This window comes from Homo sapiens, chromosome 16 (assembly GCF_000001405.40).
Source record: "Homo sapiens chromosome 16, GRCh38.p14 Primary Assembly".
Taxonomy (NCBI): Eukaryota; Metazoa; Chordata; class Mammalia; order Primates; family Hominidae; genus Homo; species Homo sapiens.
This window is the reverse complement of record NC_000016.10, coordinates 58,857,451-58,881,282: the sequence shown is the minus strand read 5'-3', so window position 1 is coordinate 58,881,282 and position 23,832 is coordinate 58,857,451. Positions and strand designations below refer to the sequence as shown.

Below are 23,832 nucleotides of genomic sequence, written 5' to 3'. Positions count from 1 at the left end.
ACAGTTCAGGGGGCATTGGATAACATAAAGAACTGACTATTTCATTTTTACTCAAAATTAAATATTTAATAGATTGCCAAAAGCAAATCCCTATTTATGTTTTCTTATTATTTTTCTCTTCAAAATATTTATTATGGATTTTAAGTGACAGATTTCATTCTTGGAAAATGATTATATCAATTTAATTAGATTGTCACCTCAGGGTCCATTCTTTTATATTTAGGAAGTTTGGAACAGAAAAGATCCTGAAAACAGAAAACAATTGCAACTAGGCACCTGGAAGTGTGCCTATCTATAATTTCATAAAATATGCTCATAATTATTTCTCTTTTATTTACTCTTAGAACTTTTACTTAGCAATTACACATTAAAGAAACAATTGAAACTCCCTCTGTGGCCAGCTCTAATTTTTTCCCCTCTCTTACTCTCCCAAAGTGTACAGCTTTCCCAAACATGTTTTTACTTTATAAATACATACAAAGGTATTTATAAATAACAGATATTCTTATTTTGTGTGTGGCTTTTTAAAAACCATATAAATTGTGTCGTACCAGGATATTGTTCTGTTACTTAGATTTTTTACCCAAATTATGTTTGTGAGATGTATCCACGTTGTGAATACGGGTAAAGTTTATTCTTTTCAACTTCTAAATAGAGGGGACAGACACTGCCAGCTGCCTAACCAATACTATGACCCCCACCTTTTTTTTTTTACTAAGAGAAACATAATATTTTTCAATGCAATCATGAGCCCTGAAAAATTAGACAATACTTTCCAAGCTTCTTGCAGCTAGACTTAGCTCTCTGGCACAGTCCTAGCTAATGAGATGTAAGCAAAGTCGGCTTGGGTTTGCTCAGGAGAGTTCCTGATGGCTCAGCTACCTCCACCACATTTCTTTCCTCTTTACTACTTCCTGCCTAGAATGCGGATGTACTTCATGGTGGAAGTGCAGCCATTTTGTAACCGTTAAGAGAAAGAGCTGCCTGCTAGATAGGAGATAGTGAGATGTAAAGAAGTTTGGGTTCTTGATGACTTTGTAAAGCTTTCCTAACAAGCAGCCCTGCCTCTAGACTTCATACCAAATGAGAAAAGCAGAATTCACACTTTGTTTAAGGTACAGTCGTTGGTTTTCTTTTTACTTGCAATCTAATTAATTCCTAACTAATAATAGAACCCATTTAATGAGCATGCCATTGTTTATATGTCCACTTATGCATTCCAATTAGTTATTTTCTTCTTTCCAGCCACAACCAGATTGCAATCAACACTGTTGCACAATGAACTTCTCTGCACACATGTGAGTCTCTGAGGGTACTGGAAGATCATAAGGTTATGTTGCTATTCAACTCTGGAAAACAGTTTAAAACACCTAGAAAAGTGGAGGTTCTTGAAATTCCCACAGTGTAAGAGTTATTGTTTTCATATATCTTTGCCAACTTTGATAATGTTAAGTCCTGACCAATGAAATTTTTGTAAGTCCACTGGATGTAAAGTAGAATCTCATTGGTTTTAAAATTCATTAATATCCTAACCAATGGGGGAAAGAGTCCCTATTTAATAAATGCTGCTGGGATAACTGCCTAGTCATATGCAGAAGAATGAAACTGGCCCCCTACCTTTCACCACATATAAAAATTAACTCAGAATGGATCAAAGACTTAAATCTAAGACTTCAAACTATAAAGTTCTAGAAGAAAACCTAGGAAATACCATTCTGGAAATTAGCCTTGGCAAGGAATTTATGGCTAAGACATCAAAAGAAATCACAACAGAAACAAAAATTGACAAATTTGGACCTAATTAAACTAAAGAGCTTCTGCACAGCGCACACACACACACACACACACACACACACACACAAAACCTATCAACAGAGTAAACAGATAACCTTCAGAATGGGAGAAAATATTCACAAACTATACATCCAACAAAGGTCTAATATCCAGAATCTATAATGAAATAAAACAAATCAACAAACAAAAACAACTCCATTAAAAAGTGAGCAAAGGAGAGAGGTTCCAAGATGGCCGAACAGGAACAGCTCCAGTCTACAGCTCCCAGCGTGAGCAACACAGAAGATGGGTGATTTCTACATTTCCAACTGAGGTTCCGGGTTCATCTCACTGGGGCTTGTCAGACAGTGGGTGCAGGACAGTGGGTGCAGCCCACAGAGCGTGAGCCGAAGCAGGGTGGGGCATCACCTCACCCAGGAAGTGCAAGGGGTCAGGGAATTCCCTTTCCTAGCCAAGGGAAGCCGTGACAGATGGCACCTGGAAAATTGGGTCACTCCCAACCTAATACTGCGCTTTTCCAACGGTCTTAGAAAACGGCACACCAGGAGATTATATCCCGCGCCTGGCTTGGAGGGACCCACGCCCACGGAGCCTTGCTCACTGCCAGCACAGCAGTCTGAGATCTAACTGCAAGGTGGCAGAGAGGCTGGGGGCGGGGCATCCGCCATTGCTGAGGCTTGAGTAGGTAAACAAAGTGGACAGGAAGCTCGAACTGGGTGGAGCCCACTGCAGTTAAACAAGGCCTGCTTGCCTCTGTAGACTCCACCTCTGGGGGCAGGGCATAGCTGAACAAAAGGCAGCAGAAACTTCTGCAGACTTAAATGTCCTTGTCTGACAGCTTTGAAGAGAGTAGTGGTTCCCCCAGCACAGAGTTTGAGATCTGAGAACAGACAGACTGCCTCCTCAAGTGGGTCCCTGACCCCCAAGTAGCCTAACTGGGAGGCACTTGCCAGTAGGGGCCGATTGACACCTCATACGGCCAGGTGCCCCACTGAGACGAAGCTTCTAGATGAACGATCATGCAGCAACATTTGCCATTCTGCAGTATCTGTGGTTCTGCAGCCTCTGCTGGTGATACCCAAGCAAACAGGTCTGGAGTGGACCTCCAGCAAACTCCAACAGACCTGCAGCTGAGGATCCTGTTAGAAGGAAAACTAACAAACAGAAAGGACATCCACACCAAAACCCCATGTGTACATCACCATCATCAAAGACCAAAGGAAAATAAAACCACAAAGATGGGGAGAAACCAGAGCAGAAAAGCTGAAAATTCTAAAAATCAGAGGGCCTCTACTCTTCCAAAGGAATGCAGCTCCTTGCCAGCAACAGAACAAACCTGGATGGAGAATGACTTTGACGAGTTGAGAGAAGAAGGCTTCAGAGGATCGGTAATAACAAAGTTCTCCAAGCTAAAGGAGGATGTTCGAACCCATCACAAAGAAGGTAAAAACCTTGAAAAAAGATTAGACGAATGGCTAACTAGAATAAAGAATGTAGAGAAGACCTTAAATGACCTGATGGAGCTGAAAACCATGGCACCAGAACTACATGGCGCATGCACAAGCTTCAGTAGCCGATTCGATCAACTGGAAGAAAGGGTATCAGTGATTAAAGTTCAAATGAATGAAATAAAGCAAGAAGAGAAGTTCAGAGAAAAAAGAGTAAAAAGAAATGAACAAAGCCTCCAAGACATGTGGGACTATGTGAAAAGACCAAATCTACGTCTGATTGGTGTACCTGAAAGTGATGGGGAGAATGGAACCAAGTTGGAAAACACTCTTCAGGATATTATCCAGGAGAACGTCCCCAACCTAGCAAGGCAGGCCAACATTCAACTTCAGGAAATACAGAGAACACCACAAAGATATTCCTCGAGAAGATCAACTTCAAGACACATAATTGTCAGATTCACCAAAGTTGAAATGAAGGAAAAAATGTTAAGGGCAGCCAGAGAGAAACATCAGGTTACCCACAAAGGGAAGCCCATCAGACTAACAGCGGATCTCTCGGCAGAAACTCTACAAGCCAGAAGAGAGTGGGGCCCAATATTCAAGATTCTTAAAGAAAAGAATTTTCAACCCAGAATTTCATATCCAGCCAAACTAAGCTGCATAAGTGAAGGTGAAATAAAATCCTTTACAGACAAGCAAATGCTGAGAGATTTTATCACCACCAGGCCTGCCTTACAAGAGCTCCTGAAGGAAGCACTAAACATGGAAAGGAACAACCGGTACCAGCCACTGCAAAAACATGCCAAAATGTAAAGACCATTGATGCTAGGAAGAAACTGCAGCAACTAACAAGCAAAATAACCAGCTAATATCACAATGACAGGATCAAATTCACACAGAACAATATTAAGCTTAAATGTAAATGGGCTAAATGCTCCAATTAAAAGACACAGACTGGCAAACTGGATAAAGACTCAAGACCCATCAGTGTGCTGTATTCAGGAGACCAACCTCATGTGCAGAGACACACATAGGCTCAAAATAAAGGGATGGAGGAAGATCTACCAAGCAAATGGAAAACAAGAAAAGGCAGGGGTAGCAATCCTAGTCTCGGATAAAACAGACTTTAAACCAACAAAGATCAAAAGAGACAAAGAAGGCCATTACGTAATGGTAAAGAGATCAATTCAACAAGAACAGCTAACTATCCTAAATATATATGCACCCAATACAGGAGCACCCAGATTCATAAAGCATGTCCTTAGAGACCTACAAAGAGACTTAGACTCCTACACAATAATAATGGGAGACTTTAACTCCCCACTGTCAACATTAGACAGATCAACAAGACAGAAAGTTAACAAGCATATCCAGGAATTGAGCTCAGCTCTGCACCAAGTGGACCTAATAGACATCTACAGAACTCTCCACCCCAAATCAACAGAATATACACTCTTCTCAGCACATCACACTTATTCCAAAATTGACCACATAGTTGGAAGTAAAGCACTCCTCAGCAAACATAAAAGAACAGAAATTATAACAAACTGTCTCTCACACCACAGTGCAATCAAACTAGAACTCAGGATTAAGAAATTCATTCAAAACCGCTCAACTACATGGAAACTGAACAACCTGCTCCTGAATGACTACTGCGTACATAACGAAATGAAGGCAGAAATAAAGATGTTCTTTGAAACCAATGAGAACAAAGACCCAACACAACAGAATCTCTGGGACACATTTAAAGCAGTGTGTCAAGGGAAATTTATAGCACTAAATGCCCACAAGAGAAAGCAGGAAAGATCTAAAATTGACACCCTAACATCACAATTAAAAGAACTAGAGAAGCAAGAGCAAACACATTCAAAAGCTAGCAGAAGGCAAGAAATAACTAAGATCAGAGCAGAACTGAAGGAGATAGAGACACAAAAAAACCTTCAAAAAAATCAATGAATCCAGGAGCTGGTTTTCTGAAAAGATCAACAAAATTGATAGACTGCTAGCAAGACTAATAAAGAAAAAAGAGAGAAGAATCAAATAGATGCAATAAAAAATGATAAAGGGGATATCACCACCGACCCCACAGAGATACAAACCACCATCAGAGAATACTATAAACAACTCTATGAAAATAAACTAGAAAATTTAGAAGAAATGGATAAATTCCTCGACACATACACCCTCCCAAGACTAAACCAGGAAGAAGTTGAATACCTGAATAGACCAATAACAGGCTCTGAAATTGAGGCAATAATTAATAGTCTACCAACCAAAAAAAGTCCAGGACCAGATGGATTCACAGCTGAATTCTACCCGAGATACAAAGAGGAGCTGGTACCATTCCTTCTGAAACTATTCCAATCAATAGAAAAAGAGGGAATCCTCCCTAACTCATTTTATGAGGCCAGCATCATCCTGATACCAAAGCCTGGCAGAGACACAACCAAAAAAGAGAATTTTAGACCAATATCCCTGATGAACATCAATGCAAAAATCCTCAATAAAATACTGGCAAACCAAATCCAGCAGCACATCAAAAAGCTTAACCACCATAATTAAGTGGGCTTCATCCCTGGGATACAAGGCTGGTTCAACATACGCAAATCAATAAACGTAATCCAGCATATAAACAGAACCACAGACAAAAACCACATGATTATCTCAATAGATGCAGAAAAGGCCTTTGACAAAATTCAACAGCCCTTCATGCTAAAAACTCTCAATAAATTAGGCATTGATGGGACGCATCTCAAAATAATAAGAGCTATTTATGACAAACCCACAGCCAATATCATACTGAATGGGCAAAAACTGGAAGCATTCCCTTGGAAAACTGTCACAAAACAGGGATGTCCTCTCTCACCGCTCCTATTCAACATAGCGTTGGAAGTTCTGGCCAGGGCAATCAGGTAGAAGAAAGAAATAAAGGATATTCAATTAGGAAAAGAGGAAGTCAAACTGTCCCTGTTTGCAGATGACATGATTGTATACTTAGAAAACCCCATCATCTCAGCTCAAAATCTCCTTAAGCTGACAGGCAACTTCAGCAAAGTCTCAGGATACAAAATCAATGTGCAAAAATCACAAGCATTCTTATACACCAATAACAGACAGAGAGGCAAATCATGAGTGAACTCCCATTCACAAATGCTTCAAAGAGAATAAAATACCTAGGAATCCAACTTACAAGGGATGTGAAGGACCTCTTCAAGGAGAACTACAAACCACTGCTCAAGGAAATAAAAGAGGACACAAACAAATGGAAGAACATTCCATGCTCGTGAATAGGAAGAATGAATATCGTGAAAATGGCCATACTGCCCAAGGTAATTTATAGATTCAATGCCATCTCCATCAAGCTACCAATGACTTTCTTCACATAATTGGAAAAAAACTACTTTGAAGTTCATATGGAACCAAAAAAGAGCCTGCATTGCCAAGATAATCCAAAGCCAAAAGAACAAAGCTGGAGGCATCATGCTACCTGACTTCAAACTATACTACAAGGCTATAGTAACCAAAACAGCATGGTACTGATACCAAAACAGAGATATAGACCAATGGAACAGAACAGAGCCCTCAGAAATAATACCACACATCTACAACCATCTGATCTTTGACAAACCTGACAAAAACAAGAAATGGGGAAAGGATTCCCTATTTATGCTGGGAAAACTGGCTAGCCATATGTAGAAAGCTGAAACTGGATCCCTTCCTTACACCTTATGCAAAAATTAATTCAAGATGGAATAAAGACTTAAATGTTAGACCTAAAACTATAAAAGCCCTAGAAGAAAACCTAGGCAATACCATTCATGACACTGGCATGGGCAAGGACTTCATGTTTAAACACCAAAAGCAACGGCAACAAAAGCCAAAATTGATAAATGGGATCTAATTAAACCAAAGAGCTTCTGCACAGCAAAAGAAACTACCATCAGAATGAACAGGCAACCTACAGAATGGGAGAAAATTTTTGCAATCTACTCATCTGACAAAGGGCTAATATCCAGAATCTACAAAGAACTTAAATTTACAGGAAAAAAATCAAACAGCCCCATTAAAGCGGGCAAAGGATATGAACAGACACTTCTCAAAAGAAGACATTTATGGAGCCAAAAGACACATGAAAAAATGCTCATCATCACTGGCCATCAGAGAAATGCAAATCAAAACCACAATGAGACACCATCTTACACCAGTTAGAATGGCGATCATTAAAAAGTCAGGAAACAACTGCTGGAGAGGATGTGGAGAAATAGCAACACTTTGACACTGTTGGTGGGAGTGTAAACTAGTTCAACTATTGTGGAAGACAGTGTGGTGATTCCTCAAGGATCTAGAACTAGAAATACCATTTGACCCAGCAATCCCATTACTGGGTATATACTCAAAGGATTATAAATCATGCTGCTATAAAGACACATGCACACATATGTTTATTGCAGCACTATTCACAATACCAAAGACTTGGAACCAACCCAAATGTCCATCAATGATAGACTGGATTAAGAAAATGTGGCACATATACACCATGCAATACTATGCAGCCATAAAAAAGGATGGGTTCATGTCCTTTGTAGGGACATAGATGAAGCTGGAAACCATCATTCTCAGCAAACTATCACAAGGACAGAAAACCAAACACCGCATGTTCTCACTCATAGGTGGGAATTGAACAATGAAAACACTTGGACACAGGGTGGGGAACACCACACACGGGGGCCTGTCATGGGGTTGGGGGAGGGGAGAGGGATAGCATTAGGAGGTATACCTAATGTAAATGACGAGTTAATGGGTGCAGCACACCAACATGGCACATGTATACATATGTAACAAACCTGCACATTGTGCACATGTACCCTAGAACTTAAAGTATAATAATAATAAAATAAATAAAATAAAAATAAAAAACAAGTAGAATAATACACTAAAATACAACTTGTTAAACATTAGTCAATAAGGTAGTCTAAAAGTTTGATCTAATAAAGTTTCAAAAAACAGTGAAAAAAAATAATAAAGATAAATAAAAAACAAAAAGTGAGCAAAGAACATGAAACATACACTTCTCAAAAGAAGATATGCAAGTGGCCAACAAACATGAAAAACTACTCCACATCACTAAGAATCAGAGAAATGCAAATCAAAACCACAATGAGATACCATCCTACACCAGTCAGAATGGCTACTAATAAAACATCAAAAAATAGTAGATGCTGATGAGGCTGTGGAGAAAAGGGAACACTTATACACTGTTGCTGAGAATGTAAATTAATTCAGCCACTGCGGAAAGCAAAGCAGTGTGGCAATTCTTCAAAGAACTTAGAACAGAACTACCATTCAAGCCATCAATCCTATCACTTGGGCATATAGCCAAAGGAAAATACATTGTACTACCAAAAAGACACATGCCCTTATATGTTTGTTGCAGACTATTCACAATAGCAAAGACAGAATCAACCTAGGTGCCCATCGATGGTGAATTAAATAAAGAAAATATGGTACATATACATCATGAAATACTATGCAACCATAAAAAAGAACCTTGTCCTTTGCAGCAACACGGATGCAGCTGGAGGCCATTATCCTAAGCAAATTAATGCAGAAAGAGAAAACCAAATGCCACATGTTCTCACTTATAAATGAGAGCTAAACATTGGATACATGTGGACACAAAGACAAGAGCAATAGACAGTGGAGACTCCAAAAGGGGGCAGAGAGGGAGAAGGACAGAGCCTGAAAAACTATGTACTGGTACTAAGCTCACTACCTGGGTGATGGGATTAATCAAACCCCAAACCTCAGCATCACACAACATACCAGTATAACAAACTTGCACATGTATCCCCTGAATCTAAAATAAAAGTTGAAATTAAAAATAAAATAAAATAAAATTCAGGCCGGGCACAGTCACTCACACCTATAATCCCAGCACTTTGGGAGACCGAGGCAGGCAGCTCACCTGAGGTTGGGAGTTCAGAACCAGCCTGGCCAACATGGCATCTCTACTAAAAAAAATACAAAAATTAGCTGGGCATGGTGGCATGTGCCTGTAGTCCCAGCTACTCAGGAGGATGAGGCAGGACAATCTCTTGAACCCAGGAGGCGGAGATGGCAGTGATCCGAGATCATGCCACTGCAGTTCAACCTGGACAACAGAGTAAGACTCTGTCTCAAAAAATAAAATAAAATGAATAAAATAAAATAAAAATTCATTAATTTCTTAGCAAGGTTGATTTTTTTCATATTAGACTTTCTTGGTTTTTACTGGACTTCTCACTACCTTTTAAATTAATTCATGGAACATAATTATATTAATATGTAAGTAGGCCAGGAGTCATTGCAAAGGAGGAAGAAAAATTCAATTCAATAATGGCTCCCTTTTGTTGACTACTTATTACATCCCATCAATGCTAATCTTCATCTTCATTCTGAAAACTGGAAAGGTAGAAATTACTGTTCCTATGGTTTTTATTATTTTTATAGATTTTCTTATGCTATAGACATTATTTTGAGGCTTTTTACAGGCACAGAGAAGTTATTATATGTCCAAAGTCAGATAGCTAGAAAGCGGGGAAGCAGAGATTTTAAACCTAAATCTACTAAATCCAAAGCCTGCATGTTTTTTTATTACACAATGCTGATCATAAGAATTTTTTCTAGTATAAACTGCGGCAGAAAAATTATTAGCTGTGGTAGAGAAAGAAACAAATAACACTAACACAAGCCTCTTTTAAATTATGAAGATAAAGAACATAAATAATCATATTGATTTTCAAATGTAGAACTGAAAATTAGACATATTTAAGAAACAACTCTTGGTCACAGAAAATATGAGGTAAACAGAAATTCAAAAAAAGATTGACTATCACTAGAGTAATGTCTCATAATTGCTACTTGGACACAACTTTAATTTTAGTAGGTTAAGTGAATGCAAGTGATCCATCTTAGTTTTAGAGAAGCAGGTGCTGCTTTTGCTCATGAAATTCTCCTGGCAGATTAATTGAAATTGGCTTGGCTATAAGTACTCTCAGTTGATTTGGGAACTGGCTCAAGAGTCACGAACAAGGAATAATCATAAACCTCTGAGTACCTAGTTTTCCAGCAGGGTGGCATAGGGATTGATGGACTGAGTTTCATTTAGCATCTTCATTAATGGTCTGAAAGAGGCAGCAAATAGCTTGTTAATGAAATTCACAAATGAGACATGGCAAACACTGATAAAGATCGCTAAATTATCAAAGGAAACTCACAGAAGAAAGATATCTAGACACAAATGAATAACCTATAATGCAACATGGAAAGCCAGAGTTGAAACCAGGATGTATGGGGAGTGGTATTCGGGAAGAAGCTGATAGGGAAAAATTTTTTTTATAATATCAAATGTTTTTATTGCTTACTTATAAATATTTTGTAATTTATATTATAATTTCTGCTTCCATGAATCATTTGGGAAAAAGTAACATTTATGACATCATCTGCTAAGACGTTTCTTCCTCCAAAGCACCATTTCTAAAAGTGACCCAGGAGTTAGAGTGAAAAGTCAATTAAATCTTAGCTTATAATGTTAAATGGCAGCCAAAAAGAATTTCTTTGGCTTACTGCCCTATGATAGAGCAGAATTTGGAGTCAATAAGACAGATCTGAGATTCAAACTCGGGTATCTCATCTGATCCAATTTTTTCACCTCTAAAATGAGAAAAATAATACCCACCTCACAGGGCTGCCTTTATGGTGATGAAATGAGACAATGTGTGCAAAAAGCAATAGGCATGATGCCTACCGTGACTGGAAGCCCAGCAAATGTTGGCTACATCTGAAATGAAGCAGGCTTTGATCCATCCCTGCCTCGAGAAGGGTTGCTGGACTCAGGAATGAGCACTTTAACTCCCAAAATATGAAATTAAACCCGAGAAAGCCCCAAGAAGAGAAACAGGAAAGGAAGCAGCCAAGTCAAGAGAGAGACAGAAGAACTTAATCCAGGTCACTAATTCCAGAAACACATCCGAAGTGCGCAAGGCTGAAAATGGAGAGTAAATTTTTAACACGAACAAGATGAAAGTAAGACTAATGGGGCGAAATTAAGGAAAAAAAAATAGCTTAAGCTTTAGATCATAGAAAAAAATTTTCCTTGACACTTCTATTAGATATTGCAGAATATTCATACAAGGGGAATCGTAAGTGAATCATTTCTTGAAGTGTTTCAAATTAGCTGGATAATGGTTCAAAAAGTTTATCATTAGGGAAAAAAAAATCCTCCTGACTCCTTTTGGGCTCTAATGCCTTTGACAATAATTCTCATATTACCATGCTCAAAACTATCCAAGCAGCAGTAAACAGGAAAGACAAGAAAGAGTGTGCACTCTTTGTTTTTTTTTTTCTTTTTTTCTTTTCTTACCCCACCCCCGGCACCCCCTCCCCCCAGACAGTCTCACTCTGTCACCAGGCTGGAGTGCAGTGGCTCGATCTCGGCTCACTGCAATTTCCGCCTCCTGGGTTCAAGAGATTCTCCTGCCTCAGCCTCCCGAGTAGCTGGGACTACAGGCGTGTGCCACCACGCTCAGCTAATCTTTGTATTTTTAGTAGAGACGGGGTTTCACCATGTTGGTCAGGATGGTCTCAATATCTTGACCTCGTGGTCTGCCTGCCTCGGCCTCCCAAAGTGCTGGGATTACAGGTGTGAGCCACCGCACCCGGCAGAATGTGCACTCTTAAAGATAGCATTAACCACCTTTGGAGGAGCCCCACTCCCCCTCAACCCACAAAACTTGGGAGCAATAATCGCTGCTCATTGAAAGCTGACAATTATGACTGACAAGTTAATTGTTACCCCAAGAAAATTATCTAAGAAGTTCTAAAACTGTAATAGAGTAATTGACCCTTTTCTTCAAATGCTTACTAAAACCCCTAATAAGTCACTGGACAGAATTTTCACAGACTTAAGTTTCCTTTCTGTTTATAAGTTATTCTTAAACATTTTGGTATCTGCTACTACTCTATATAATGGTATCTGATTTTTTTCACATAATTATGTATGCCATTATTTCACACCTAAATCACCCAGATTTCATGAGATTCTGCAAAATAAATCAGTCCTTTCAGATGCTCCAACCACATGGCAAATGTGACATTCCCCTCAGTACTGGAAAAATCATTACCCGAGACAAGCAAGAGGTTTCTGATGTGGCACGGGTTGGATAGCCAGCAGATTACACATAAGAGCCAGGAGAAGAAATATCCAAGGGGAAAGGAAGGCAGCCATCTGATTTATGCATCAAGATACACTAAAAAAAAAAAAATATTGTGCACTATGTGCCAGACACTGTATGAGGTCTTAGCAATTTAACAATGACCAATAAAAACTAAAGTACTACCCTCAAAGATTTACATGCTCATGAGGAAGGCACTCATAAGGAGGCAAATGAATGCAAATGTAATATATTTTCCAGGAGACATAAGTATTACAGAAAAACATGAAAGGGTTAAGGATAACTTGGAGATGGGAATAGGGGATACAGCTATTTTAGTTTAGGAAGTGAAAGAAGATCTCTTAGTAGATGACATCTGGGGGGAAAATCTGAAATAAGTAAGGGAGGAAGCCAACCTGATTCAGAAAAATCACATTTCAGGTAGAGAAAAAAGCAAGCATAAAGGCTCTACTCCTGCATATGTCAGAAGCAGCAGGAAAGCAAGTGTAGCTAGAATGGAGTTACCAGGAACCTGCAGGTATTCTAGGTGGAGGCAGCAAAGGTGATAGGAGTGATAACCAGGCAGAGGTCAAATCATACCAAGCTCTGAAGGACAGGGGCAAGGAACAGGACGGCACTGAAGGTTTTGCAAAAGTGAATAACAGGATCAGATTCACATTTTGAAAGATCGCTCTAGCTGTTTTTTGGAAAATAGATTTTACTGGGTGCAAGGTAAAGGTAAAATAAAGAGTGAAATATGGAAGCCATTTTATTGGGCCAGGAAAATATGGAAATGAGAACAGGAGGGATAGAAACTAGCCTATAGGCTGGGCGCAGTGGCTCACACCTGTAATCTCAGCTCTTTGGGAGGCCGAAGCGGGCAGATCACTTGAGGTCAGGAGTTCAAGACCAGCCTGACAAACATAGTGAGACCCCCGTCTCTACTAAAAATACCAAAAAAAAAAAAAATATTATAGGCGAGGTGGCGAATGCCTGTAATCCCAGCCACTCAGGAGGCTGAGGCACAAGAATCGCTTGAACCCAGGGAGGCAGAGTTTGCAGTGAGCTGAGATCACGCCACTGCACTCTAGCCTGGGTGACAGAGCGAGACTCCATCTCAAAAAAAAAAAAAAAAAGAAAGAAAAGAAACGAAACTAGCCTATAGACTCAGAAGACATTTTGAAGATAGAGCCAATAGATTTTGCTGATGTGTTAGATGAGAGGAACGCCAATTAGTTGAGGGAACGTGCTGCTAAGACACTCTGAAGAGGTGGTTTGTAAGTGAGCTGCCTATGCTATCGAAGACAAGCAATATGTGTATGTTTGATGTCTCTGGGAGAACAGATGATGGTGATATATTTTTTGTTCCTTTAGTAAATCCCCTTAACTATCTGGTGTCCATTAACCTCCTGAATCTTTTTCAGTTGATATACGTGGGCTTTGGTAAATTCCTGAATCTGTACACCAGTTTGGGGAAGTCATATCTTTTTTGTCATTCACTCTAAAATTGATCCTTCATGTTTCAAACTATGCCTGTCCTTTTCCAAAGTCACCTTACACAAAACCCAAATTTACCAAATACCAAGTTTACCGTATTACCTATTCCTTGCCCCTGGCCGTCAGGGTTTGGTATGATTTGACCTCTGCCTAGTTATCACACTTATCACCTTTGTTGCCTCCACCTAGACTACCTGCAGGTTCCTGGAAACTCCATTATAGGTACACTTGCTTTCCTGCTGCTCCTGAAATATGCAGGAATACAGCCTTTATGCTTGCCTTTTTCTCTACCTGGAATGCGATTTTTCTGAATCAGGTTGGCTTCCTCCCTTTATTTCAGATTTTTCCCCCAGATGTCATCTACTAAGAGATCTTCTTTCACCACCTAAACTAAATACAGTAAACTTGAGCATGTCCTCCACACCCTTTCCAAACCATGGGGATTTCAGAGCGCTCCATCCTGAGTTCTTGTTTTTGGGATTTATTCTTGGTTAATGGGGAAATGGGACCCCGTTCTATTCCAGATGTTATTCCAGAAACAGGTTGTTCTGCTTCTCTTCCCAAGTGCCTTTTTGAGGACTGCCCTCTATATGTCCAGCATGATAGACCAATGCTCTGAAACAAGGGAGACAGTCTTCTTTGGTTTGTTTCCTAGTGATGCCTAGAACTTCCTAATCAATCTAAGCCTATTAGAAAGCCCCAGACATTCTTGGTGCTCCTACTTCCCTTACACCTGTTAAGAAGTCACATTATCATATTATCACATACTGATTCTACCTCAGGCCTGACTATGCATCTGTCCCTCTTTATTTTCATCATCATAGCTTTTTTTTTTTTTCCTGAGGCAGGATCTCAGTTCTGTCACCCAGGCTGGAGTGCAGTAGCATGATCACAGCTCACTGCAGCCTCCACCTCCCAGGCTCAAGCGATCCTCCCACCTCGGTCTCTCGAGTAGCTGAAACCTCTGAGTAGCTGGTGCCTTCCTCATCAGGATGTAAATCTGTCAGTGCCTTCCTCGCCAGCAAAATTAGTGCACCACTATGTCCGACTAATTTTTTTATTTTTTGTAGAGATGAGGTCTTATGTTGCCCAAGCTGGTCTTGAACTCCTAAGCTCAAGCAATCCTCCCACCCTGGCCTCCCAAAGTACTAGGAGTACAGGTGTGAGCCACTGCAGCCAGCCACTGTAGCTTTCATGCCAGCCCTCATCACCTCTCCCTTCTATTACTGCACTAGACAATTTGGTCTTCTTTCTTTCTCCATGGAGCTGTGGTAATCTTTCCTAAACACAAATCTGATGATTTCCCACTACCCAGAGCAGGCTTTCAGACTGTGCTTATTAAACTCTAGGAAGCTCCTGCCCATCTCCGCATCTTCCACTGGAAGTGAACCCCATTTTCTTTGTTACACATTTGTCTTCTGAATGAGACTTTTTCAATAAAAGGTTTCACTGCAAGAGAGAGACAGAATGAGCTTGAAAAACACTGACTTAGACTGGTCCTAACTCCTTTACATTCAAGCGCCTTCAAAGTTAATCTCTTATTTCATCCTCCTCTCCAGTGGCTTTCCAATAATGCACACTACAGCCCAGCCATACTGGACTTTCCACACTTTCTAAAATATGCCATGCCCTCAAATATGGGCAGGCAGATAAGTTATTGCCATGACACTTCATATATTCTCAAAAAACGGTTGCTGTTATGAGCAACTGCTGTTGCCTCTTCTCACCATATTTATCCCTTCACCATCTCCCCTCATCCTTAAGAGACTCAAATTAAACATCACCTTCTTTGTGAATCTTCAAATGGGATGAATTTCTCTTGTATCACTATAGTTTATTTATGTAAGTATTTCCCAAACTGTGACATAAGAATGTATATTCAGGAACCCATACTGTCTCTGAGACTCCTATTTCAACGTTATGTTTTTATTTTGCTGATAATCTACAAATAAAATTTACCAGTTTTAAAACAGAAGCTTTCTCTTGGGTGGATGAGTCTCCATTCAAATAAATTTTCATAGGATAAAGTTCTAGTTTTCTTAAGTGAGTATGGTTTTTTTTTTTTTTTTTTTTTTTGAGATGGAGTCTCGCTCTGTCGCCCAGGCTGGAGTGCAGTGGCGCGATCTCGGCTCACTGCAAGCTCCGCCTCCCGGGTTCACGCCATTCTCCTGCCTCAGCCTCCCGCGCAGCTGGGACTACAGGCGCCTGCCACCACGCCCGGCTAATTTTTTTGTGTTTTTTAGTAGAGACGGGGTTTCACTGTGTTAGCCAGGATGGTCTCGATCTCCTGACCTCGTGATCCACCCGCCTCGGCCTCCCAAAGTGCTGGGATTACAGGCGTGAGCCACCACGCCCGGCCAAGTGAGTATGGTTTCAAATGGAAGTCACAGGCATCTCTGGACATTATTCTGGGGTTCTCAAGTTGTGGTCCTTTTATAAAAAGTTTGTGCAAACATTTGATATTTGCTTTTACATATCTCTTTGTAAATAACAAGCATGTTTTGTTTTAGGTGTTTGATTAAGTGTCTCCCTTATCCAACAGATGACAAAAGAGCTGTCTGTAGTTGCCAACATGTTAGTTGAGCAACTCCTCCCTGTCTCTATGGCAAAAAAAAAAAAGTTGAATTTTTAAATGAGTCCTAGAATCCTTTTGAGTTCTGACTGATAGGCAATTTGGGAAAGGCTTTGATTTCAGGATTTCTGACCCTAAAATCTAATTATCCACCATAATGGACCTCATGGATATCTCATAGGTGGCCTAAGCAGTATATTAGCAACATATCAGAGATTTGGAGACAGATAGCATAAAAGAGACAAAAACAGCTGGACCTGAGAAACAACGGTTCTGCAGCAATTATGTAGGAGACACCTGCTCTTCTTCTCGTCACTTAGTGATCACTGTAAAGGCAAGAAAATGTCCCTTTCTGCTGCTAAGGTCCTGCCACGTGGCAAGTGGGAACTAGATATCACACAGACTTGGTGGCAGACCATTGAAGTTTATATGCTCTAGAACCCTGTATCAGTCAAGGTCCTGATGGGTAACAGATGACATACTCAAGGTGAGCAACCTAGGGGAGAAACTAATGAAAGGGACATTTACTAAAGAGTGGGCAGGGTGATGGAAAACCAATAAGGGAATGGCAAGGAAAAGAAGTACATACCAGAATCCAAAGAGGAACACTAAAGCTATAAGAGAAAGTTGCCTAGTGGAAGCTGTAGCCACAGAGAGAAAAACAAAGGCAAACAGTTAGACCCAGAAGACAGAAACCTGCCCTAACTCTCTCCTTACCCTTCTGGGTTCTCACTGGCTTAATCCAACAGGAAACTAAAAGATAAGCAAACTAATTAATGGAGTCCATAAAATTAATGCATAGAGCAGGCTTGGGAAAAGATAAAGAGTATGCCTGGAGATTCAAACGAAAGATACCAAAGATTCATAAGGAGGTAGGTAGCCTTAGGGGACATTTGAATATCAACAGTGTTGCTTTCCATGTAACCAGCATGAATCCTGCTGGGACAAATCTTATCCCCATGTCTTTGGAAATAGAGAGGATAAAAAATGATGATGATGATGATGATGACAGAGGAGAAAGAGATATGAAGAAGGAGGAGGTAAAGGAATAAATAACACAAAAAATGCTACTAATTTTAAAACCTGTGCATTTAATAACCATTTGTTGAATACATCCTAAGTGTTAGATGGTGAGCAAACCACTGATGACAAGAAGAGAAGACATGGTCTCTATACTTAGGAGCTTCCTATTTATTGGAGAAATCAGCTCTGTGAATTGATCAAGTACAGCATTAGCTACTACATTTATTACAAATAAATTTAATGCAACTAGCTTCTATGGCTATTTTATTCATTGTAATTATGATTATTTATAGTTATTGTTAAGCTTTACATGTATCAGGCAGGCTGCTCAACTACTTAAATCAGACCTACCTCATATGACCAGGAGAGGATTAAGTTCAATTGTCTACTACTATCTTCACTTTACAGATGATGAAGTTGACACTTAGGAAGTGTGAGTTTTATTCAAAGTCTTCTGGTTAGTAAGAGGTAGAGCTGCGATTGAGACACAAGCATTCCGATTCTAGAGACACACACTCCTAACCACTACAAGGCACTGCCACCTGGGGTGAGACCACAGTGGTTTTCCTTGAAACATGCATGCAATCTGTACTTTTTCAAAATCCAAGGGAGTTTTCTTGATCTATCAATTTACCATGTTCCTTTTTATCCCTCTCAATTTACTAATTGCATCAAATATTACATTAGGTCAGCATTACACTAATTGGCACCATTTTGTTTACTAAATGATGACAGGGTAGAATGGCGTTTCCTTTCCTTGAGGCCCATCATTAAAATGATTATTCCCCAGGGGGTGACGTGGAAAGTAGGAATGAGCTACACTGCAGCATGCATGGATACCTGTGGCCTTTAACAAAGAGGATGGCCTTACCCCAAATTATTCCATCTGGCAGAGCTGTTACCTGCTGTAGTTCACACATGAATGGCAATGATTTGCATGCAAATAGAAGCCTACATGCTTTCTCGGAGCTAAGAGCTGTATTTCAACATTTCACAGTGGAATTAGCAGTGGACAGGATGCTGCAGCTTTGTGGATATGCCAGCTAAAACCCTTCTAAATACCAAGCTCTGTGTTTCACAGCAAGATTGTTTATTGAACCAGTTCGTGGAAGCTCCAAAGACTCCTCTGCTGAAACACCGCCAGCTCCAAGCTCTGATTTTGACATTGATATTGTCAGATGAGATTAAGCACTGGTCGTAATGAATGCTGGCAGACTTCTGTTGAGGTATGATCACCCGTGTTCCTGTGGCTAAGTAGCAAAGCTCTAGACAGGAGCGAAGCTGTGGTCTTGGGAGTTATTAGTTGCTGTTTTTGTTTCTTTTTCCTGCTCCCTAATATGGTTTGGCTGTGTGTCCCCACCCAAATCATCTTGAAGTATAACTCGTAATTCCCACATGTTGAGGGAGGCACTCAGTGGGAGGTAATTGAATCATGGGGGCAGGTCTGTCTTCTGCTGTTGTCATAATAGTGAATAAATCTCACGAGATCTGATACTTTTAAAAAGAGGAGTTCCCCTGCACAAGCTCTCTCTCTTTTGCCCACCACCATCCACGTAAGATGTGACTTGCTCCTCCTTGCCTTCTACCACGATTGTGAGGCCTCCCCAGCCATGTCGAAGTGTAAGTCCATTAAACCTCTTTTTCTTCCCAGTCTCGGGTGTGTCTTTATCAGCAGCATGAAAACGGACTGATACACTTCCCTTCATCAGTTGCCAATTTCCTAGAAGATAAAGGGCAAGTTTTTAATTGATCTTCATGGATCTTCATATTCTGAGCCATACTGATCATTAACCCTCATGCTGTCTCACTCCTTTATACTACAACAATCCACAAATACTGTTATTTGCCCTTACACATGATGCAGTACTAAACTTTCTTTGCTTTGCCCATACTGTTCCCACCTTCTGGAATGACTTCCTTCACTATCTTTGGATAGTAAACTTTTACTCATCCTTCAAAAACCTGTTCAGGCTATTCTGAGAGATCTTCCCTCATTGTTCCAAATAAAGATGATTTCTATATCTCCAAAACCTGATCTATATCTTTACTATTACTGCATGAAACAATAAGACAAATAAGCACACAAAAGTCTTGCCTGTAGAGTCTTATCTCATCTTTATATATCCAGATCTCAGCACGATGTTTGGCATATAGTGTATACTCCATCCTTATTTGTTGAATTTAACTGAATTCCTCTTCCCAGGTACAAGGTATAGGAGGTATTTGGGAGTTTAAAACAAACCACAACATTATGTTAGCAACTCATGAATTAGTACTAAATTTTTTATGATGTTTGTTTTTGTTTGTTCGTAAAAATGCACTTATCTTACCAAAAAAGACAAAACAAAAAAATACAAAAAAGTTCCTTGATCTCCTTAACCAGAAAAATTGCTTTCAACAGTATGGGCCAATGCAGATCTATGATCATGTTTATATCTATACAGACATATATAAATACTCTTATATAATCCAGAAATAGAGCTTTGTTAGATTTTTTTAAGAGATTTGCTTTGAATAGTAGGAATGAGTTATCGTTTGTAGAAAAAAGATGACACGATGGAGAAATAAGTATTCCCTCCTGATGGAACAAGACAGTGAGGCTTGCTGAAATCCATTTAGCACAATCAGTTGGTCTATTATTTCCCAATTATGAAAGTGGAGAAATGAGATATTTAATCAGGACATATTTTAGAAAGTTGTAACATATTTGCTTACTTCCCTAAGGCTTGTAATGAAGAGCTCTTAATATTTCATTTTCATTATTACCAGAAGAGAAGAGTTATAATAAAAACTCTCCTTGTGGTCTTGATCCCAAAGCAAAAGAGAATTTCAGCATCTCTAGGTCATCTGAGCAATGACCCTCACAGTGAAACTAGGTGGAGAACTACTGGAGATCAGGATTCTGGATCCATTTCCCAGTCCATTGCCATTCTTTGTCTTTGCCAATAATCTCTACTTCTAACTCACAGGACATCTTGTATTTAGAATCTCTTCTGTGCTTGGAAGGTTACGGAAAATAATCATTCCCATATGCATGCTAAAGTGGACACCTTCCACTGAACACCGAACTCCTCCCTAAGTTCAGGACTGACAGCCACAGATGAGTAAACTGAGGCACATTTGCGAAAACATCAGGAAGAGATTGGAGTATGCCATCTTTAAGATCTTTTTAAGCTAAAAATTATCTCATTTAATTAGTGCCCCAATATTATCTGCTGGAACAAAGGTGTAATCATTGAACCAGGGAATATCATCAAAGACCAAAATGCTGATTGTGACTTATTACTAATTTTGGCTGCCAAATCCTTCGTTTTTTGAGAGGTTAGACTTACCTCTGTTAGATCTAGGTTATAGCTAATTGTGTTCTGTTCCTAAACAGATTAAGATCACATTGCTGAGAATTGGGAATAATTGTAGAATGCATAAACAAATTACTGCTCTCTGGATAAAAAACACAAATTTCTCAATGTCTTGTTCTCATATTCCAGGTCTTAGACTAGTCATGCCCAAAAAAAGCTTTCACTGATACAGCGAAGGTAAGGGTGAGTGCAGCCCTCAGGATATCTAAGTCAAACCAGACAGGGCTGCCTGCTTCCCATTTCCAGTGTGGTCTGCGGTGGTGTGTCTGATAAGAACGGACAAAAAGCAGAAAGCATGATCACTGTGATGAAAAATGAGAAGTGAAGAACAACCAGGTCCCAGCAACCCCTGACACAGTGGCCCTGGATAGCTAAATTTCAGCCATTCCTAAACATCGAATGGGAAGGAACAGGTTCAATTCATTAGGTGTTTTCAACCTGCTTTTTCTTTTTAATATATGTATACTGTGAAAAGAGGGTCAGTTTGTGTTTGGAAAAACCAATATATTTATTTGCATTTAGCTGTCATCTATTGGGAGAGAAGTAAAATTAAAGCATGGAAAGGAGAATTATTTGAAAACGCAAACTAGTATAAGCAGGAGAGGGCAAAACTTTGCATAGTTTCTTTAAAATAATGTCTTTTAAAGGTCATCTAATGGGGTGTGAGTGTGTGTGAAAAACACACTGGTTTATTCACCAAAAAGAGCCCAATCTGGCATGTAGCATAGCTTTCTCACAATCCAGGGAAGAGGGACCAGGGACTTTGGAAGCTGAACAGAGCAGAGTAGGTCTAAGTGTCTGTCCTCACATGGACATCTGAAGTCTCACTCAGATTTCATTCTCATTCTCCCCTCCCTTTCTCTTCGCTCTTTCTCTCCCTCCATCTCCATCTTTAACTCTGTCTTTTTCAATCTATTTTCACAAAGGATCCTGGCTGCATCCTGTCTCAGTCCTTTGTGTCCTAACAGGAAAATCTCAATCCCTCCTTTCTTGACTCTTGATCCCGTCCTGGCAAGCTTCCAATTCAAAGATGTCTCAATTAGCTAAGCATGAAGACACAGGACAGACCAAATGCTTCTTTAAATACTGAATCCTTCTTATAAAGTAACTTTGACTTGAAATAAGATCTACAGATTAGATAACAGCATTTTGTCAATATTATTAATCTCCTGATTTTGATCATTGGGCTCTATTTATGTAAGAGAATGTCTTTATTTTCAAAGATACATACCAAAGTATTTGAGGTTAAAGGGACATCATAGCTGGAAATTTTTTAACATTTATTTTAAAAGTTCAGGAGTACATGTGCAGGATGTACAGGTTACATAGATAAACATGTGTCATAGGGATTTGTTGTACAGATTATTTCATCACCTAGGTATTGAGCCTAGTATCCATTAGTCATTTTTCCTGATTCTCCCCTTCTTCCTATTCTCTGCCCTCCAGTAGGCCCCAGTGTGTGTTGTTCCCCTCTATGTGTCCATGTGTTCTCATCATTTAGCTCCCACTTGTGAGAACATGCAGTATTTGGTTTTCTGTTCCTGCAATAGTTTGCTAAGAATAATGGCCTCCATCTCCATCCATGTCCCTACAAAGGACATCCTCTGTTCTTTTTTGTGGCTGCATAGTACTCCATGGTGTATATGTACCATATTTTCTTTATCCAGTCTATCAATGATGGGCATTTGATTCCATGTCTTTGTTATTGTGAATAGTTCTGCAATGAACATACATATGCATGTGTCTTTATAATAGAATGATTTATATTCTTTTAGGTATGTACTCAGTAATGAGATTGCTAGGTCAAATGGTATTTCTGTCTAGGTCTTTGAGGAATCACCACACTGTCTTCCACAATGGTTGAACTAATTTACACTCCCACCAACAGTGTAAAGGCATTCCTTTTTCTCCACAACCTCATCAGCATCTTTTATTTTTTGACTTTTTGATAATAGCCATTCTGACTGGTGTGAAATGGTATCTCACTGTGGTTTTGATTTGCATTTCTCTAATAATTAGTGATTTGGGGCTTTTTTCCATATGATTGTTGGCTGCAAGTATGTCTTCTTTTGAGAAGTGTCTGTTCATGTCCTTTGCCCACTTTTTAATGGGGTTGTTTTTTTCTTGTAAATTTAAGTAGCTTGAATTATTTTCAAATGTTTTCGAAGAAAAACCATGTATATATAGAAAAAGAAAGCCAATGTGACAAAATGTTAACATTTGGAATACCTGGGTGAACAATATCTGGAATTTTTTGTATTATTCTTCCAACTTTTCTGTCATTTTGAAGTTATTTCAAAATAAAAAATTAAAAGGGGCTCTTCTATATTTTTAAAAATTATCATTTTTATTTGTTATCACAGTAAAGATCCTCTTTACCCAGTGATTCTACTGGGGAAGATGATTGAAAAGCAAGGAGCTATACCCTGACACAACTCAAACCAAACATATTATTATATAACACACACAACCAAAATCGCATTCTAGAAACCTGGACAAATTTTTCCATAAAACTTAAAATGAAGTTGTTCTCATCTTTTCATTTGCCCATTAATTTAGTCATAGAATATTTATTGAATACCTCCTGTTCAAAATGATCAAAAATGCTCTGGTGCTCACAGGCTGCAAAGGAGACACACACAGTCACTTCCAGGACTGCATGGTAAGTGTTAAAACAGGTTCTATGGAAGATAGAGGCAAGGAACGCCTGTAATCCCAGCACTTTGGGAGGCTGAGGCAGGCAGATCACTTGAGGTCAGGAGTTTGAGACCAGCCTGGCCAACATGGTGATACCCTGTCTCTACTAAAAATACAAAAATAGCCGGGCGCGGTGGTGCGCACCTGTAATCCCAGCTACTCAGGAGGCTGAAACAGGGGAATTGCTGGAACCTGGGAGACAGAGGTTGCAGTGAGCCAAGATTGCACCACTGCACTCCAGCGGGGGT

At 39.6% G+C, this 23,832-nt stretch overlaps 2 long non-coding RNA genes across 3 annotated transcripts in view, besides 1 other annotated feature; one reads left to right on the top strand and one right to left on the bottom strand.

Moving 5' to 3' along the window:
- The first annotated feature begins 962 nt into the window (after positions 1-962).
- Positions 963-23,832, top strand: part of LOC105371296 (uncharacterized) — a 32,515-nt gene continuing 9,645 nt past the window's right edge. The window contains exons 1-2 of one of the 2 annotated variants that reach the window (NR_188481.1): positions 963-1,115; positions 1,246-1,298. This is a non-coding gene — a long non-coding RNA (uncharacterized LOC105371296). Of the gene's footprint in view, positions 1,116-1,245; positions 1,405-23,832 lie in introns of both variants that reach the window. The other variant, NR_188482.1, reaches the window with a different exon arrangement.
- LOC107984867 (uncharacterized) overlaps positions 17,577-23,832 on the bottom strand; it is a 114,037-nt gene continuing 107,781 nt past the window's right edge. The window contains exon 3 of the long non-coding RNA XR_001752227.2: positions 17,577-19,248. This is a non-coding gene — a long non-coding RNA (uncharacterized LOC107984867). The remainder of the gene's footprint in view (positions 19,249-23,832) is intronic.
- Positions 17,974-18,657: an enhancer, noted in NCBI's record as "OCT4-NANOG-H3K27ac hESC enhancer chr16:58896530-58897213 (GRCh37/hg19 assembly coordinates)". NCBI's record gives its function as "activates a minimal SCP1, AML or CMV promoter by ChIP-STARR-seq in naive and primed H9 embryonic stem cells {active_cell/tissue: H9 hESC(naive and primed)}" and the evidence as "EXISTENCE:reporter gene assay evidence [ECO:0000049][PMID:30033119]".